Here is an 18,768-nt window from a genome sequence, read left to right as displayed (position 1 = left end):
TTTCTAGGGGGCACAGGATAAATCTTCACTATCTCTAAACCACTCTGCCCATTCCCAGGGCCAGGCCATGGTGGCTGCTCTGCCAGGGCTTATAGAACACATGAATGGATGAACGGATGATGCAGTGATAAGTCTTCCCACTAAAACATGGATATTGGGAGGCTTTATGAGGCAGGCAGATGATTCGCTCCATTGGACTGATGCTGAAGCTGAAGTTCTGTGGGGGTAGGATATTTACCAACTCCCACAGTCGTTAAGCAGTGGAAGGAAACAGTGGTGGGGTCTTAGCATTCAGCGCTCTACCAGTGGTGTGCATGTCGGCCTTAATCACACTATTTCATCCCTCCTCAATCAAGCAACTGTGAGCGTTTGTAAATATCTTTCACCTCTTTTCTATGCATAAATAAAAATAGGATAACATTTCAAAACTTGTCTTTTTTTTAAGAGGCATTGTATAATTCATATTACTGGCCAACTTCAGGGGGTGGTTATCTGGTTATTTGTTTGTTTGTTTTACTTAATAACATGTCAGGAAGAGCCCTCCAGATAATTATGTAGAAATCTAATTTTGGAAAGACTGGTATTCCAAAAAGCCATGTATCATAACGTATTTAACCTTTCCAGTTCCGGTGGACTTTCAGATTGCTTCCAGGTTTCTGCCACCACTAACAGTGTGGCAATAAACATCCTGTTCCTATGTCCTTATATTTTGGGGTTTTCATTTCTGTGGGAGAGATTCCCAGAAGTGGGATTGCTGGATCAAAGGGAATGTGTATTTCTCAATGTTAATAGATACTTACAGATTACATTTTCAAGAGGTTTTGGCAATCCCCAAGGACCCAAACTTTAAGTCCAGGTCTTGCAAAGGAAGTACAATATCAGAAAGCACTTTCCTCCCTTTGGGATGCACAAAACTAGCCTGATGTCTGGAGAGGAGCCCTCCCTCTTTTTTTTTTTTTTTTTTTTTTTGAGACGGAGTCTTGTTCTGTCACCCAAGCGCACAGTGACGCAATCTCAGCTCACTGCAACCTCCCACTCCCAGGCTCAAGTGATTCTCCTGCCTCAGCCTCCTGAGTAGCTGGGATTACAGGTGCACGCCACCACGCCCACCTAATTCTTGTATTTTTAGTAGAGATAGCGTTTCACCACGTTGGCCAGGCTGGTTTCAAAATCCTGACCTCAGGTGATCTGCCTGCCTCGGCCTCCCAAAGTGCCGGGATTACAGGCGTGAGCCACTGTGCCTGGCCCCTCCCTTTTTGAACCCAGCCAGTGAGGCTTCCAGACGGTGTGGAAGCAAGCAGATGGGGCTTGCGTCTTGGCTAAGTGCCCGTGGGCAGGTCATTCAACCTTGCCAAGCTCGTTTACTCATTCATAAAAGGACCCAAACCTGGAATAAAATTACTTTGCAAGCACTTGGCTGGAGCGAGCAGACACAGTGGGGGCTAGACACATGTCACGTGTTGAGGATAACTATTCTGTCTGCTTAAGTAAAGACCCCACCGACACTGGGCTTCCTGATCCAGCTGCTCTGGAGGGCTGCGGAGGCTGTACCTTTAAGCCACTCCAGGCCACCTGGCGCTACATGAGCTGCGCAGGGCTTGGGCAGCCTGTCTGTCCTTCCTTCTGCATTGACTCGGCACACCATACCCTTTCCAGGAGGCCTGACCACAAGGCACCTCTTGGGATATACTTGCTGTTCTCTTCTCCTTTTCCCTTCCTACCCATATGCACCGCACCGCACCCTTTCAAAGCCTGGTCTGTCATCCTGAGCGTGGGTCCTTATCTACCTTCCTCCTGCTCACAAAGTTGGCAATTCTGTCTTATCAGTTCAGCAAAATAATAATAATCATAATAATGGCTAATATTTGTTCACTGTTTCCCCTGTGCCAGGCACTGTGCTAGCTCTTAATGTATATTAATTCATCTAGACCTTACAATGACGACTGAGACCCCACTTCACAGGTGAGGAAACCCAGGCTTGGCAGCTGGTTTGGTGTCCTTTAGCTCCTGCTGCCTGGGTTAATTTCCTGGGAATTTCATGAGCCCCAGGACCTGCCTTGTCCAGGCATCTGTGTGCCTGGGAGAAGAACCTGGGCTCACAAAGGTCCACTTGGGGAGGCCAGATTGAAGTAGGGCGCAGTGTTCCAGACAACCTGGGGGCCTACCCTGTCCATTCGAGGCTGTTCCTCCCTGGCTTCCAAATTCCAGACAGAATCAGTTTGCTGCTGCCGGTTCTGCCACATTGGATGCCTTCAGCAAAACATCCATCCACTCACGTGTCTCTCCATTGAGTCTCCCATCATCTGGAGCACTAACTATGTGCTGGGCACAGGGGAAATGGAGATAGGATTAAGCCAGTGCCTGGCTCCAAGGGAGTCCGGGTGATGAAGACAGTGACATCACAATGTGCTCAGTGCTTCGGGATCTCAGATGGGCCCCTGACCCAACCTGGGAGCAGTCAGGGAAGTCTTCCAAGAAAAGTGAGGTTCAAGGAAAGTGGTAGCAGGAACGTTGCTCCTGGAAGAAGACACAGCAAGCGTGAAGGCTGGGAATTTTTTCCAGAGAAGCCCAAGTTCCAGTGGCTGCTGTGGCACCAAACCCATGGCTGAGGCCCAAAGTTCCAAGAAGCCACCTGATTTTTCAGTCCCAGCCCCAGGATAGGGCAGGGATAACACTTTTCCCTCCTTGCACCTGGCATTAGAATTACGGTCACGGCTGTGTCTGACATCTGCTCAAACCAATTCGTTATCATTAGGAAATGAATCCCTAATGAATTTCTGCAGCCATTAAGTCTGATTTACAGTAATGGTAATCACCCTTGGAAGCACACGCTTTATCCCTTTAATTAATAATTCCCACTTATCAGCAACCCTAATGATCACGGGACAAAAAAAAAAAAAAAAAGGAAAAAAGCCTCCAAATTCCAGCCCTTGCTTCCCCATCACACCTCTGGGGATGGGGAGAGAAGAGTCGAGTCCTATGGAGAGGGGTCTGGAGACCCCTGTTGCCTGCCAGGGAGGGCAATTATCGACCCTAATCCTCTACCTGAACTTTCTGTGTCAGCCAGACAGTTGTGCTCCCAGCCCCCGGGGCATGCTGGTCATGGCCAGCCACCATGGGATCAGGCTCCTCTCCATAATCACCCCAACAGCCTGCCTGGCCTCACTGGTTCCACACTCACTCATACGGGGCATCTCCACGCTGCAGTCACGGCTCCTGTCTACATATTAGCAAATCCAAACAAGCCCTTTTCCGCTTGAATCCCCACAGGGGTATGTGCACATGTCCTCAGGACAAAGCCCCAGCTCCCAGTGCCCTGCTCATCCTAAAACCTCCTTGTTTACGCCACCCAGCCAGCGTCCCTACCCGCCAGCTTCCCCTCTCCTCCCAGTCACTGCCACCTGGCACAATTCTCTACCTTGTTCTGAAATGCCCTTCTTTCCTTCCTTCCTCTGCCTGGCACATAGCTACAGCCCTTCTCCCATCCCTGTTTATGTTAAAGAATCTGTCTGTGCAACTGGGCAGCCAGGTGAACATGTCAGCAGGTCACACAGAACCAAATGTGGGACGTGGCCATCACCGTGTGTGAGGCACAGAGGGGACAGCAGACAGAGCCAGGGAGGGTTTCTAGGTGAGGAGACACCTGAGCTGGGTATTGAAGGGAAAATTTTATCATATGAATGTAAATCCCCACCACCTATTAGGCATTCACCAAGTGCTGGGCACTTTACCTAGAGTACCTCATGTAATTGTCACATCAATGCTGAGAGATAAGTATCAGTACCCCCATTTTATAGGTGAGAGGACCGAGGTTCAGAGAGGTTAAATAGGCCCAAGTTTACACAGAACCCTGGGAGTGGCAGAGCTGGATTTTGCCCCTGAGTATCTGTCCCAAGGTCACACCTCCAACAGAAAGTACCATTTGTCATGAGTTTAACAACACCCTTTATTCTAAAGCAGGACACACTGAAGCACGGCCTTGATCTGGCTATGGCTCACACACACACATATATTTTATCTAGTGGCTCACTGGGTCCACAACGGAGGCTGCTCCAGCCAGAAGCAGCTGGCGAGCTTGCATCAGAGTAGCCACTCTGAGGGCTACTAGATTCAGTGTCTTGGAACACCTTGTCTTAGTCTGCTCTGTCTGCCGTAACAAAACACCACAGATCAAGTGACTTAAACAATAGAAATGGATTTTCTCACCATTCTGCAGGTGGAAATCCAAGGTCAGGGCACCAGCACGGTCAGGTCCCGGCAAGGGCCCCTTCCTGGCTTGCAGGTGGCCGTCTTCTCGCTGTGTCCTCCCATGGTGGTGAGAGAGCAAGCTCCCTAATCTCATCCTGAGACCCCAGCCTCATGACCTCATCTAAAACCGGATCACCTTCCAAAGGCCCCACTTCCTAATACCATCACACTGGGGGCTGAGGCTTCAGAATAGGAATTTGTGGGGAACGCAATTCAGTCCACAGCTCACCTGAATCCTGCCAGTGACGCCCAAGCGTGGTATGGCTTGCCTATGGGAAGACTCCAATAGGAGCAATGATGGAGCTGAAGGAAGGAGCTTTTGGCAGGACTCAGATCCTAACTCAACCCCTCCTACCTCATGATGCTGGGGGACCTCTCTGTGCCTCAGATTTTCCCATCTAAAAATGGGGATACCAGTGGTGCCTACCTCGCAGAGTCCTGGCGAAGATTAAATGAGTTGAAACATGTAAGATATTTGCAACAATGTTCAGCCCATAAGAAGCATTTGCAAGTGTTGGTTTACTTACATATTTATTTATTTATTTAGAGACAGGGTCTCACTCTGTCACCCAAGCTGGAGTGCAGTGATGCCATCATATCTCACTGCAGCCTCAAACCCCTGGGCTCAAGTGATCCTCCCTCCTTGGCCTCCTGAGTAGCTGGGACTAGTTTTTGTATTTTTTGTAGAGATTGGGTCTTGCTAGCTTGCCCAGGCTGGTCTTGAACTCCTGGCCTCAAGTGATCCTCTCACCTCGGCCTCCCAAAGTGCTGGAATTACAGGTGAGAGCTACCACGCCTGGCTGATAGTATTATTATTATTATTATTATTATTATTATTATTATTATTATTATTATTATTATTATGTCAGCAGGAACATCCCGCACTCAACAAAAAACATAAGAACCTCAGACTTTGGGGGCTAAATGATGAAATGGGCATAAATAGATCTTTTTTTTTTCTAATGCTCTGTAGCCTTTTTATTTTTTAATTTTTTTTATTTTTTAACTTTTATTTTAGGTTCGGAGACACATGTGCAGGTTTGTTACATAGGTAAACTCACGTCACACGGGTTTGTTGTACAGATTATTTCCTCACCCAGGAATTCAGTGCAGTACCCAATAGTAATATTTTCTGCTCCTCTCCCTCCTCCCACCCTCCACCCTTAAGTAGACGGCACAAATAGATCTAATGACAGAGGGAAAAAAAGCCAGGCTAGGTGGAATTTTGAAATAGTAATCTGTATTTTTTCTCGTCTATATTTCTTTTTTTTTTCCCTCATCCCTGCAAAGAACCTCCAGGCGGCATATCCTGAAATGTTTGAATTACTGCTCCTCCTAAAAACCCTGACTCAGGCCTTCCTTCCCGCCCTCCTCCTGAGTTCCAGTGGGTAGCGCCCACGCTGTGCCTCGGGCTGACGTCTGCCCACTTCTCTGGATTCATCTCTTGATTATCTCCCACCTTCGATGCAGGAGCCTGCCACACCTACCACACGCGAGCACACACGCATGCACACACACGCCATGCTGTCGTTAAGCTCAGGGCCTGTGTCGCTTGTCCCCTCTCCTCTTCCTGGCCCCGGCTCCAATTCCCCATAAGGATACCCACCCCTCCAAGAAGCCTTCTCTGCACCCCCTAGACTATGTGGGAGGGGTGCCCCTCCTCTGTGCCTCCGCAGTCCCTGGGCTGACCCCAGTAGCATTGAACTCACCTCCCTGTGCTGTGACTCTGATGCTGCTGTATGGGACAGCGGTTAAGAACAGAAACTCTGCAACCGACGGCTTGGATTTGAACCCTGACTGTCTACTTGCTGGCTGCATAATAGTGGGCAAATTTCTTTGACCTCTGTGCCCCATCTGGAAATGGGGATACAGACAGTGGGCCTCCCTTGCCGGAACCCTGTTAGGATGATATGGGTTAATGTGCATAAAACACCAGCAGGGTGCCCAGCATGTGCCCATTGAAGAGCTCATTAGTGTTTACAAAACAGGACCCCCCACTCATTTTGGGGTTGGGGGTAACTTTATATACCCACTGCCTAGCACGGTGATTGGGACGTGGTAGGCACTTGAAAAATATTTGTTGAGCTGAATTACTCCCACAAAATGAAAACAGAGCTTGGCTCACAAAGACAGCCATCACTCACATTACATATTAAGCGATTTTTCCAGAGTGCATCATGCCAAATATTGTACATTCTTTGTTATAGCGAGGGCGGTGATATTCATTAAAGGGTAGCGCAGTTTCATTAGAAACACTTATTTTCGGAATTTTATAGCTCAGCCACAAAAATTCACTCCGGGCAAAACGCTAACTTTCGCCTGGAAGTAAATGGGTTTATTTTATAAATTTTTATGTATTTTCCACGCATAAACAACTCGCCAGAAAACCATTCTTTAATGGAAGGGTTGCAAGAGGAAAACCTAATATTCTGGTGTATGAGACATAAAGACTCAAAAGGTGTGGTGGGGGTGGGGACTCGGGGGATGCCTGGTCAGGAGGTGACTTTCCCCGGGGAGTTCCATATCAGCTTCCTGAGCCCTTTCGAAGGTCTCAACCATGCATCCACCAATATTTTTGAGGATGTCATTGGGCCAGTTGCTGTTTTAAGTGTTTTCTGTGTATTAACTAATTCCCCAAATTACATCTCCTCCTAAAGAATGTTACTAGGGGGTTAAGCAAGTGTCCCCCCAAAATCTATGTCCACTCAGACCTCAGAATGTGGCCTTATTTGGAAACAACATCTTAGTAGATGTATTCGAGGTAAAATGAAGTCACATTAGATTAGGTTAGGCCCTAAAGCCAATGACTAATGTCTTTATCAGAAAAAAAAAAAAGCCAGGCGCGGTGGCTCACACCTGCAATACTAGCACTTTGGGAGGCCAAGGCGGGGTGGATCAACTGAGGCCAGGAGTTCGAGACCAGCCTGACCAACATGACTAAACCCCGTTTCTACTAAAAATACAAAAAATAAGCTGGATGTGTTGGCCCGCACCTGTAACCCCAGCTACTCGGGAGGCTAAGGTGGGAGAACAGCTTGAACCCGGCAGGCAGAGGTTGCAGTGAGCCAAGATCGAGCCACTGTACACCAGCCTGGGCGACAGAGCAAGACTTCATCCCAAAAAAAAAAAAAAAAAAAAAAAAAAAAATGTGATTTGGACACTGAGAAGCACAGAGGGAAGAAGGCCATGTGACACCACAGGCAGAAATCAGAGTGACTCAGCTACAAGCCAAAGGGCGCCACGGATGCCGGCAACCCACGGGAGCTGGAAGAGGCTGGGGAGGATTTGTCCCTGGAGGTTTCAGGGGGAGCACGGCTCTGCTGACACCTTGATTCTGGGTTTCTGTCTTTGGAACTGTGAGAGGATAAATCGCCATTGTTTTAAGACCCCCGGATTGTTGTCATTGGTTGCAGCAGCCACAGGAAACTAATTCAATGGGGAAACGGAGGCAAACCAAGCTCAGATAACCCCCCTCTCATCCCCCATTTATTCAGCTAGTCGTTGTGGTTGAACTTTAAACACAGCAGTGCTCCAGGGTCCAGAGACTCCCTTCTCCCCACTTGCCCATTGGAGATAGACTCCCTTCTCCCCACTTGCCCATTGGAGATAGAACACAAGCAAATGCTAGAGCCTACCCAACAGGAAACAACATGCTTCCATACGGCTTCCTCTTTGATTGTCCTTGATGAAGGAAAGATCACCAAACAACACATACACACACACACCCCACTTGAGAACTTTGAACTCATAATCCAGGACTTTCTAACCAGCTAATCGCCATCTCTCATTCATTTCTATAGCATATTGTCACTCTGATCACAGCAAAAACACAGATGCTTCCATTTCATATCTAGGAAAACAAAGTCATAAGGAAAAGCAATTTAACACTGACTGGTTTCAGGCTGAAACTCCTCAGCCAGATACGTGTCTATCCTCCCCACCTGCACACTCTAACTAAAAACCCAACAGCAGGGGAGTGTGAAAGAAAGGAGGCACCGGCAACAATGAACTACGCAGCAATTTGAAATGTTGATATTGCCAGGCATGGCAGCACTTTGGTAGGCTGTGGTGGAAACTTAAAATGTTGATATTGCTGGACGTGGTAGCACTTTAGGAGGCTGAGGTGGGAGGATTGCCTGAGTTCAGGAGTTCAAGACCAGCCTGGGCAACATAGTAAGATCTTGTCTCTACAAAAAGTAAAAAAATTCATTGAGCATGGTGGCGCTCACCTGTGGTCCCAGCTACTTGGGAGGCTAAGGCGGGAGGATTGCTTGAGCCCAGGAGTTTGAGATCGCAGTGAGCCATGACCGCACCTGCACTGCAGCCTGGGTGACAAAGCGAGACTCTCTCTCAAAAATAAATAAATAAATAAAATGATGTCAGTTCATAATTATGGACATGGAATGATGTGCACAATATGTCATAATGTGAAAAGGCAGCTCACAAGATGGTATGTGCAGTACACACGGTTCTTAATGTCAAAACAGGCAAAGAAGGCATCTATGGGTATGGATGAGCACACAGGAGGAATTGGAAAACAGCCGATGCGGTGTTCACGCTAGGAAGTTCATGTTAGGCAGCAAGACAGTAAGGAGCATTTTTACCCCTTTATGATTATGGTCTGTGTCAACCAAAACAGTCAAACTCTCTAAAATATTTGAAAAGGTTTATTCTGAGCCAAATATGAGTGACCATGGCCCACGACACAGCTTTCAGGAGGCCCCGAGAGCATGTGCCCAAGGTGGCCAGGGTACAGCTTGGTTTTATCCATTTTAGAGAGGCATGAGACATCAATCAAATACATTGAAGAAATACATTGGTTTGGTCCAGAAAGGCAGAACAACTCAAAGCAGGAGCTTCCAGGCTATTGGTGAATTTAAACATTTTCTGGTTGACAATTGATTGAGTTTGTCTAAAGACCTGAGATTGACAGGAAGGGAATGTTCAGGTTAAGATAAACATTACGGAGACCAAAGTTCTTTGAAGTCTTATAGTGGCTGCCCTTAGAGACAATAGATGACAAATGTTTCCTATTCAGATCTTAGTTAGTCTCTTCAGGATTGGGAGGGTCTGGAAGAAAAAGTTCTAGCTGTGTTAACAGAGATTCTTTACAGATGCAAATTTTCCCCCATAAAGAACAGCTTTGCAGGGCCATTTCAAAATATGGCAAAGAAACATGTTTTGGAGTAAAATATTTTGATTCCTTGTCTTGTAATGATACACCAGTCAGGATGGAAAGTAAGTCACCATATATAGGGTTAAATAAAACCCATCTGATGAGAATTTATGATTTGTAGGGCATGACTCCCCAGACCCCTTAGATAGGAATTTGGGCAAGATTAAAGAAAAAAAGTTTAGTTCTCATCTGCATTGCTCCCAGTGAATACATATTTATTTTGTAATAAGAAAAAAATAGCAAAGCTTACATTCTGGGAGGGACTGGAGGCCTGCAGATCCCAGTGCATTTGTGTGTGACTTCTCCTTCTGCAAGATGGGCACCATAAACCTCCCCAGGTCACGGGGTTTTGCTCAGCAGTGCCCCCCTGCAAGAAAACTTCTCTTATGACCCTCAAGGACCCAAATGGGTTCTGATTTCAGCTCCCCTCTGCAGTCATTCAAAGTTAGCAGGCCTTTCCTATCTCAAATACAAATGATTCCTCAAAGTTAATCTGAACCTCCTGCCCTGATAAGCAACTGTGAAATAAAAAAATAAAAAAAGGTCTACTAAAATCCAGCCAAGCCAGACACTAGGGATCCAGCATCTATAGGTAAGGGGGAAAGGCCCCTGACAGGGGAATCTTGCCAAACTGCTGGAGTGTTCCAGAAAGAGAAATGGCATCAGGCAATCACCCTTGAGGGGCAAAAAGGCCCAGTGGATGCTTATGCAAGAAGGAGGCTGTGCTAATTTTCTAGGGCTGCCGCAAGGAATGACAACTGATATCTCATCCTGAATCCCCACGTGTTGTGGGAGGGACCCGGTGGGAGGTGACTGAATATGAGGGCAGGTCTTTCCTGTACTGTTCTCGTGATAGGAAGTCTCAGGAGATCTGACGGCTCTATAAGGGGGAGTTTCCCTGCACAAGCTCTCTTTTTGCCTGCTGCCACCCATGTAAGATATGACTTGCTCCTCTTTGCCTTCTGCCATGATTATGAGGCCTCTGCAGCCATGTGGAACTGTAAGTCCATTAAACCCTTTCTTCTGTATAAATTACCCAGTCTCTGGTATGTCTTTATCAGCAGCATGAAAACGGAATAATGCAACAACCAACTAGGGGACTTAAAACAACAGACATTTATTTTCTCACAGTTCAGGAGGCCAGAAGGCTGAGGTCAGGGTGTCGGTGGGGCCACACTCCCTCCAGAGGCTCCGGGGGAGGATCCTTCCTGGCCTCTTCCAGCTCCCAGAGGTTCCTGGCATTCCCTGGCTGTGGCTGCATCACTCCACTCGGCCTCTGCCTTCATGCCATTGTCTTCTCTGTATGTGTATCTGTGTCCCCTTCTGATAAGGACATCATCACTAAGCCAGGATGACCTCATCTTAATTACATCTGCCAAGACTTTACTTCCAAATAAGGCCATATTCTGAGGTTCTGGGTGGACATGAAGTTTTTAGGGTACATGGTCCAACCCAGAGACAGATCCAAGTTTCTGGGACTATAACTACTCTCAACTCGCCCTGAGATTGTCCATCCCAAATCCCACATCCTAACAGTATCAGGTATCTGATACAATTGCCCCTTTGAGTAACTGGTCATTGGGTCAATAGTCAATAACTGTGTATTGAGCATGGCCAAAGAACAACCCAGACGCATTCAGATTAGACTGCTGCATGCCCATCCACTCGCTCTGATGGTTTACTTTATGTGTCAGCTTGACTGGGCCAGGGGATGCCCAGATGTTTGGTTAACTATTATTTCTGGGTGTGCCTGTGAGGGCATTTCAGGTGAGGTTTGCATTTGAGTCCGTAGGCTGAGGAAAGAACATTGCCCACCCCAGTGTGGATGGTCTCATCCGGCCAGTTCAGGGCCTGAACAGAACAGAAGGCTGAGTCAGAAATAATTCTTTGTCTCTGTCTAAATGCCTTTGAGCCAGTCTTCTCTGACCTTCAGACTCAGACTTGGACTGGAACTTACACCATTGACTCTCCTGGTTCTCAGGCCTGTAGACTCAGATTGGAACTCTACATTGGGTTTCCTGGGTCAGGACTTTTCAGCCTCCATAATCATCAAATTAGCCAATTTCTTATTTTGTGTGTGTGTGTGTAATGTTATATATTATATATATAGGATATATATAATATATAATAGCTTTATGGGATATATAACATATACTAGGATGTAGACGACATGTTATATGTCTTATGTTATATGTCGTATATATCCTATTGAAGAATCCTGACAATACACTCACACATAAGGGAGATAGCCATACACTATTGTCAGGAAACAAAGGCAGAAAATAACCCAAAACCCCCACAAAACCCCAAACAACAAAGAGAAAAAAACCCAGGGTCTAAAAGAGAGAAAAGAGATGAGGGGAACCTTACAGACAATCTGGGAACAGTGAGCTTCGTTTATCTTGTTTATACAGCTTTGTAGCAAACTGATCAGCTGGCTTCTAACAGAGAAGTCGGCCTGGGCAATTGGAGCCTAAGCGGACAGACGAGGGATATTCAGAAAACCATTTCAGCTGCTTTTCAAATCTCCAGAAAAGCCTGGGGGTTTGGCTATGAAGCACAGGTGACAGGCTGTACTGCCTGGGCCTCCTGCTCCCCGACCTTCTGTCGGGGCCAGGGGAGCAGCCCTCCTCTTGAGCGAATTTGCAGCCCCTACCACGTGCCAGGAGCTAAGAACACGGCAGCAGCAGCCCAGCCCTGGACCTCGCGCGTTCACCTTCTAGTGCCTTGATGACTTTCACCTCAATCTGGGAAAGAACCGAGTCTTGCCCCAAGCTGGACAGCATAAGGTAGCAAAGTGGACAGCAGCAGCAGCCCTGAGCTTCTCTTTTCCTTCTACAACTTCTCTGGGGTGCGTGGCGGACACAGCCTGATCTTGAGCACCAGACTGAGCTCGCTGTGAGCTGCAGTCACAGAAGGGGTCCCCAGGAGGCAGACTCTGGTGGAGTTCAGCATGCACAGGGAACCAACTCTTCCCAGTAGACCCAGGACATTCCCAGTTTTGGTGCTGAAAGTTCTCGGTCCCGAGAAAGCTGTCAGTCCAACCCACACCTACATATGCATGAGCAGGATGCTTATTTCGGAGACAGAAGATGGAATCAGGATTGGACAGAGAGAGAAGCTGAACTGCAGTGTAGGTCCAGCCATGGCCTTGGATGATCCTGGGGCTGCTTCTGGAGCTGGGACAGCTCTTCAGCATTGTCCTGCTTTGGGCCATGCTGGCAGAGCCGGGACACCCCTACCTTGATCTGCCAGATGCAGGCCACCATGGAAAGGGGCTGGGGAGAGACCTGGGCAGCTGATCCATGTCCATCCTGTTCTTACAAATGAGCTGTGGATCTTGGGCAGGTCACCCAACCTCTCTGAGCCTAGTTTCCTTAAATGAACACCATTTTATCTACCTCAAAGGGATGTGGGGAGGAGAAATCTAAAAAATATAACGGAAGTGATTAGAGTATAATAGGACCTCACAAATGGGGTCATTTCCCTCACCTCTGCCCGGCCTTAGGACCTAAAGTGAAGCTGTCCATGATCATGATTGTCCTAGTTTATTATAATGATAACAATAACAATAACTAACATTTATGGCGACCTTGCATTGTACAACTGGCACCATTCTAAGTACCTTACACACATGATCCCATCCGATCCTTAAAGCAGCCCTAGGAAACAGGTACTATTATTAACCTCATTGCACAGATGAGGAAACTGAGGCACAGAATTGCCCAGCAGCTTGTTGACATTTTCGAGAGTAAACAAGGGAGGGATAGTATTTATGTTTAGAATTTCTCTCTCTTTTTCTTTCTTTCTTTCTTTTTCTTTTTTTCTTTCTCTCTCTCTTTCTTTCTTTTCTTTCTTTCTTTCTTTGAGACAGGCTACAGTGTGGTTGTGTCACGCAGGCTAGAGTGCAGTGGTGCAATCAACAGCTCACCACAGCTTCGACCTTCCAAGCTCAAGCAATCCTCATGCCTCAATCTCTGGAGTAGCTGGGACTACAGGAGTATGCCACCGTCCCTGGCTAATTTTTTAAACATTTTTTATAGAGATAAGGTCTCACCCTGTTGCCCAGGATGGTCTCAAACTCCTGGGCTCAAGTCATCCTCCTGACTCAGCCTATCAAAGTGCTGGGATTACAGGCAAGAGCCACTGCACCCAGCCTTCTTTTTGAGTGACAGGACTTGGGCTAAAGCACCTTTGACTTAGAAGAATAAAAGTCAGTCAGCCTCCAGAATATATAAAGAGCACTTACAACTCAACAAAAAAAGACAAACAACCAATTTAAAAATGGGCAAAGGACTTGAATAGACATTTCTTTGAAGAAGACACACAAGTGGCCAATGAGCACATGAAAATATGTATAATGTCACTTGTCATCAGGGAAATGCAAATCAAAAACCACAATGAGATTCTACTTCACTCTAACAAGGGTGGCTATAATGTTTTAAAATGGAAAATAACAAGTGTTGACACAGGTGGAGAAATGGAAACCTTTGCACATTGTTGACAGGAACGTAAAATGGTGCAGATGTCGTGGAAAACAGTTTGGCAGTTTTCCAAAAAGTTAAATGTTGAATTACTGTGTAACTCAGCAGTTCCACTCCTGGCTCTGTATCCCCAAAGGACTGAAAATAGGTGTTCAAACAAAAACTTGTAAATGCATATTTATAGCAGCACTATTCACAACAGCCAAAGGATGGGAACAGCACAGGGGTCCATCAACAGATAAATGGATAAACAAAATGTGGTAAAATGTGGGATACATATGCCCTGGCCTGTCCTAAGGCCATAAAAAGGAGTCAAGTACTGATGCATGCTACACCATGGGTGAATCTTCCACCACTATGCTAAGCGGGAGAAACAAGATGCAACAGGTCACATCTGGTCTGATTCTGTTTATACAAAATGTTCGGAATAGGCAAACTTATAGGAAAAGAAAACAAATTAGTAGTTTCCAGGTGCTGGAGGAGGAGGAATGGGGAGTGACTGCCTCGTGGGTACGGGGTTTCCTTTGAGGCAATAACAAAACGTATTGGAACTAGACAGAGGTGGTGGCTGCACGACATTGTGAATTTATTGAATGCCACTGAACTGTACACTTTAAAATAGTTAAGTTTGCATTGAGAAGTCAAGCAGTAGATGCGGCTCCAACTCTGTTTCCTGGCACCTCCCAGGGTTAGAGGTGAATTGGGGCTGCCTCGCATGGGGAGTGTTAGGAAGCCAGGAGTTAAGCTGCGATGAGAAAAGCACCTGGTTGAACCAAAGCCTTTTAGTCAAGGCCACCCATGTATTTGTCCAAGCCGTGCACTGCACAACAAGGGAACTAAACCCAGGGAACTAAAGTCCACTTCATACATCATCCCCAAGCCATGTGCCCTGGGTAAGACTGCATTGACACGGAGCAATTTCCTTTCCCTAATTCTCACAGATGTACCCTATAACATGTGACTGCAGCAGCCTTTCTTTTAGCGAGTCAACCTTCCCCAGCACCACCCCACTAGCAGCCCATCAGAGACAGTCCGGCAACCTCCGCTGTACACAGCTTGCATACTGAGCTCTGGGCCTCTCCCATTCCTCACTCTCCATTTCTACAGTGTGCTGTTCCTTGCCTCCTCTCCCAGCCCAGCCTCCCACTGACAAAAAGGGACAAAAGTCCCCACTCTCCTTGGAGTGACCCTCGGCTCACCTCCCCGCTCACCATCTGCACCTGCCCTTGGCCTTGGCCAGCCCCTGCCCCTTGGGAGTGGAGGCATATCCCAGCCTCCTGCCCACTCCTCACCTCAGCGTGGGCAGCAGCCCACTGCTTCTTTAATGTGAGTTTTTGTCTGTCCTGGCAAAGACGAAGCGTGTTTCAGACTGTGGTTTCAAACGGGGTCAGGGGCCCAGAGGTGCCTGCTCAGGAGAAGGCGATAGACATGGTTTGCTTCTCCATTGTAACGAACAAGTTTCTTGGCCAGAGCACAGTTTTACCCCTGCCTCATTCCTTCAGGCCTCCAGGGCTACAGTTCGGGTCTCACTTTGCAAGGAGGGAAGGATGAGGACCAGACCCTTCTACTTAAATGTTTAAGCAGCAGAAATTGTCAGGCATAGAGTGGGTCTAGTCCCAGCTCTGTTGCAAACCTGCTGCATGGGATCAGCAGGTCCCCTGACATTTCTGAGTTTTTATTTCTTCCTCTGCAAAATGAGTAGGCAACAGACAACGTGCTTGCTAAAGTTCCTTACGGCACAAGGATTTATGCCAGGGTTTTATACATGTGGAAGGCAGTTTTCAAAGTTGCTTTCAACTTGAGCAGCACCCCAATGGGTGAACAGAACATGGGTCCCATGAAGTGAGAAAAAAAAAAGAATAATGCTACTATGGACATTCATATACAAGTTTTTGTGTGAACATCTGTTTTCATTTCTTTTCAGTATATATCTAATAGTGGAATCACTGTGTTAAATTATCCAAACCAGTGCTTGAATCACAACTACATCATATTTCTCTTTTTTTTTTTTTTTTTTGAGAAAGAGTTTCACTCTTGTCGCCCAGGATAAAGTGCAGTGGCATGATCTCAGCTCACTGCAACCTCTGCCTCACTGGTTCAAGCGATTTTCCTGCCTCAGCCTCATGAGTAGCTGGAATTACAGGTGCACACCGCCATGCCAAGCTAATTTGTGTATTTTTATTAGAGACGGGGTTTCACCATGTTGGCCAGGCTGGTCTCCATCTCCTGACTTCAGGTGATCCACCTGCCTCCCAAAGTGCTGGGATTACAAGCATGAGCCACTGTGCCCAGCCAACTACACCATATTTCTGGCAACAGTAGTATATTATAAAATATACTAAATATACCATACAACTCACCTATTTAAAGTCTACAAGTCAAGGGTTTTTAGTATATTCATAGAGTTGTGCAACCATCACCACAATCAATTTTAGGACATTTTATCACACCTAAAAAGAAACCCTGTATTTTTTAGCTATTACCCATGGTCTCCCATCCCCCTCTGCCCCAGGCAACCACTAATCTACTTTCTGCCTCTATAGATTTGTCTGTTCTGGACATTTCATATAAATGAAATGAAAATGGAGTCATTGGGATTGACTTCTTTCACTTAGCATGATGCTTTCATAGTCTGTCCATGCTGTAACATGTATCAGTAAGTCATTCTTCTTTACGGCTGAATAATATTCCATTTTGTGGATAGACCACATTTTGATTACCCATTCATCAGTTGATGGACATGTAGGTTGTTTCCAGCTTTTTTTTTTTTTTTTTTTTGTCATTAAGAGTAATGCCACTATGAGGCCAGGCACTGTGGCTTACTCCAGTGATCCCAGCACTTTGGGAGGCTGAGACAAGTGGATCACTTGAGGTCAGGAGTTTGAGACCAATCTGGCCAACATGGTGAAACTCCATCTCTACTAAAGATACAAAAATTAGCCAGGTGGACGCCTGTAATTCTGGCTACTCAGGAGGCTGAGGCAGGAGAATGGCTTGAACCTGGGAGGCTGAGGTTGCAGTGAGCCGAGATCATATCATTGCACTCCAGCCTGGGTGACAGAGCAAGACTCCATTTTTAAAAAATAAAAATAAAAAAGAATAATGTCACCATGAATATTGATGTACAAGTTTTTGTGTAGACATCTGTTTTCATTTCTTTTCAGTGTATACCTAATATGTTGTGCAATCATTGGGTCAACTAATTGCCATGAAGGCAGAGTCTTCGTATGAACAAGTTGCAGCTGAGGGGCCTTTGGAACATTCAAAGGGGGATGTGTTGCAGGGAATGGGATAAACAGGTCAGACCTCCAGCAGAGAGGTAAGGGATTGAAACATGCAGTTGGGAGCAGGAGGAAATGCCTTCTCAGAGCACGGCAATGGCAGTCATTTTCTGGAGATGTCGGGTGCCATGTGAGGGTATATCCTGCAAATGCACCTGTAAGGGTGAACTGTCATCCCTGTGTGGGCCACAGTTCATCTGGCTTCCTGGAGGAGCTGCATTTCTCAATCAAAACCCTGGACCTGAGCAGGAAGGCTGGAAGGGAGATAAGCAGACATCCTTTTTCTTTGGACTGGAGTCTGGGAGAAGAGAGTGCCCTGGAGAGCTGCCTGCTGTTTTGTAGTCACATGGAGTATGAGCATGCCTTCCCAGGGACCCTCACCTGGATGGAAACTCCAGAGAAATACTCACTCAGAACCTGAAGGGACAAGGGATTCTTTGAAGTATCACTTATAACAGAGGGTTTGGAGGTAATCTGGGTATCCATCCATCACTAGGAAGATGGATGACAGAAATGTAACAGACATCCTTCCTGGAGTGCACAGATAATGAACAAAATGAGATACGGAATAAATCTTTTAGTTCAATATTCATGAAAACTCCATGAACAGACAAATCCATGAACAGACAAAACAGTGCTACATACTTATAAGCATGCATAAAAACGCAAGGACAGCCATCAAACATTTCAAAGCGATTGCCTGTGGCAGTTCTCAGGGAGGGGGTGCAAGAGAGAGAGTACAAGTATAGACTGGAGATTAAAAAAAAAAGAATAAATGAATAAAGCAAAAAAGGAGCCTCATATAGACAAAGGATGAAAGTATACCATAAGTTGAGAAGTAAGACTGATTAATCATCCACTCTGATGTCCAAAGATAAAGCTGGAGAAGGGGTGGCCCTAAATGCTCTCAGCAAGTTAGTGCTTAACTTGTGGCTATGGGTGAAATCAAAAAGTAATGGTCTAAAAAGCTTCTCTTCCCAGGGATCCTCATGGAGTGGGACAGTCCTGCAAATCCTGAAGAAAAAGTTGGCTCACGTCATAGCCAAATTCTAAGATGGTGCCCAGTGATCTCTGCCTCCCAATATTCATGCCCTGTGTAGTCATCTGCCATATTGAATCAGGGCTGCCCCTTTGTGACCAATCAGATATTAAGAAAATGGAAATGTGTGACTTCTGAGGTTAGATGAAAAGCATTGCTGCTCCTGCAATGATGGCTCCCTCCAAGGAAAGTCAGTCATCATGCTATGAGGACTCTCAAGCAGTCCTGTGGAGAGTCCCATGGGCAGAGGAGATGAGGCCTCCAGCCAATAGCCAGCAAGAACTTGCTGGCCATGTGAGTGAACCACCTTGGAAACGTAGCCTCCAGCCACAGTCAAGCCTTCAGATGAAACTGCAGCCCCAAGTGGCATATGAGTGCAACTGCATGCAAAATCTCAAGTGAGAAGCACCTATCTAAGGCCTTCCTGAATTCCTGACCCATGGAAATGATTAGTATAATATGTGATTATGTTATACATTAAACTTTATGTTATAAATTATATTACACAGCAACAGACAATTCATACAAGCTCTGTTAGTT

At 46.4% G+C, this 18,768-nt stretch overlaps 1 protein-coding gene and 1 long non-coding RNA gene across 9 annotated transcripts in view, besides 1 other annotated feature; both read right to left on the bottom strand.

Annotated features, from left to right (window-relative positions):
* The window catches only part of LOC124900165 (uncharacterized), a 230,445-nt gene that overhangs the window by 158,565 nt on the left and 53,112 nt on the right, over positions 1-18,768 (bottom strand). For 2 of the 8 annotated variants that reach the window (XM_047416490.1, XM_047416487.1), the window contains exon 3: positions 2,166-2,517. The exons of 5 other annotated variants lie outside the window; for them this stretch is intronic. The gene's annotated coding sequence lies outside the window, so the exon portion shown is untranslated. The remainder of the gene's footprint in view (positions 1-2,165; positions 2,518-18,768) is intronic. One more of the 8 variants, XM_047416491.1, reaches the window with a different exon arrangement.
* The window catches only part of STX18-AS1 (STX18 antisense RNA 1 (head to head)), a 168,808-nt gene that overhangs the window by 96,928 nt on the left and 53,112 nt on the right, over positions 1-18,768 (bottom strand). The gene's annotated exons all lie outside the window — the stretch shown is intronic.
* Positions 2,798-3,787: an enhancer, noted in NCBI's record as "H3K4me1 hESC enhancer chr4:4611951-4612940 (GRCh37/hg19 assembly coordinates)". NCBI's record gives its function as "activates a minimal SCP1, AML or CMV promoter by ChIP-STARR-seq in naive and primed H9 embryonic stem cells {active_cell/tissue: H9 hESC(naive and primed)}" and the evidence as "EXISTENCE:reporter gene assay evidence [ECO:0000049][PMID:30033119]".

The sequence above is a fragment of the Homo sapiens genome, chromosome 4 (assembly GCF_000001405.40).
Source record: "Homo sapiens chromosome 4, GRCh38.p14 Primary Assembly".
In the NCBI taxonomy this organism is placed as follows: domain Eukaryota; kingdom Metazoa; phylum Chordata; class Mammalia; order Primates; family Hominidae; genus Homo; species Homo sapiens.
This window is presented reverse-complemented; position numbering and strand designations above follow the sequence as displayed.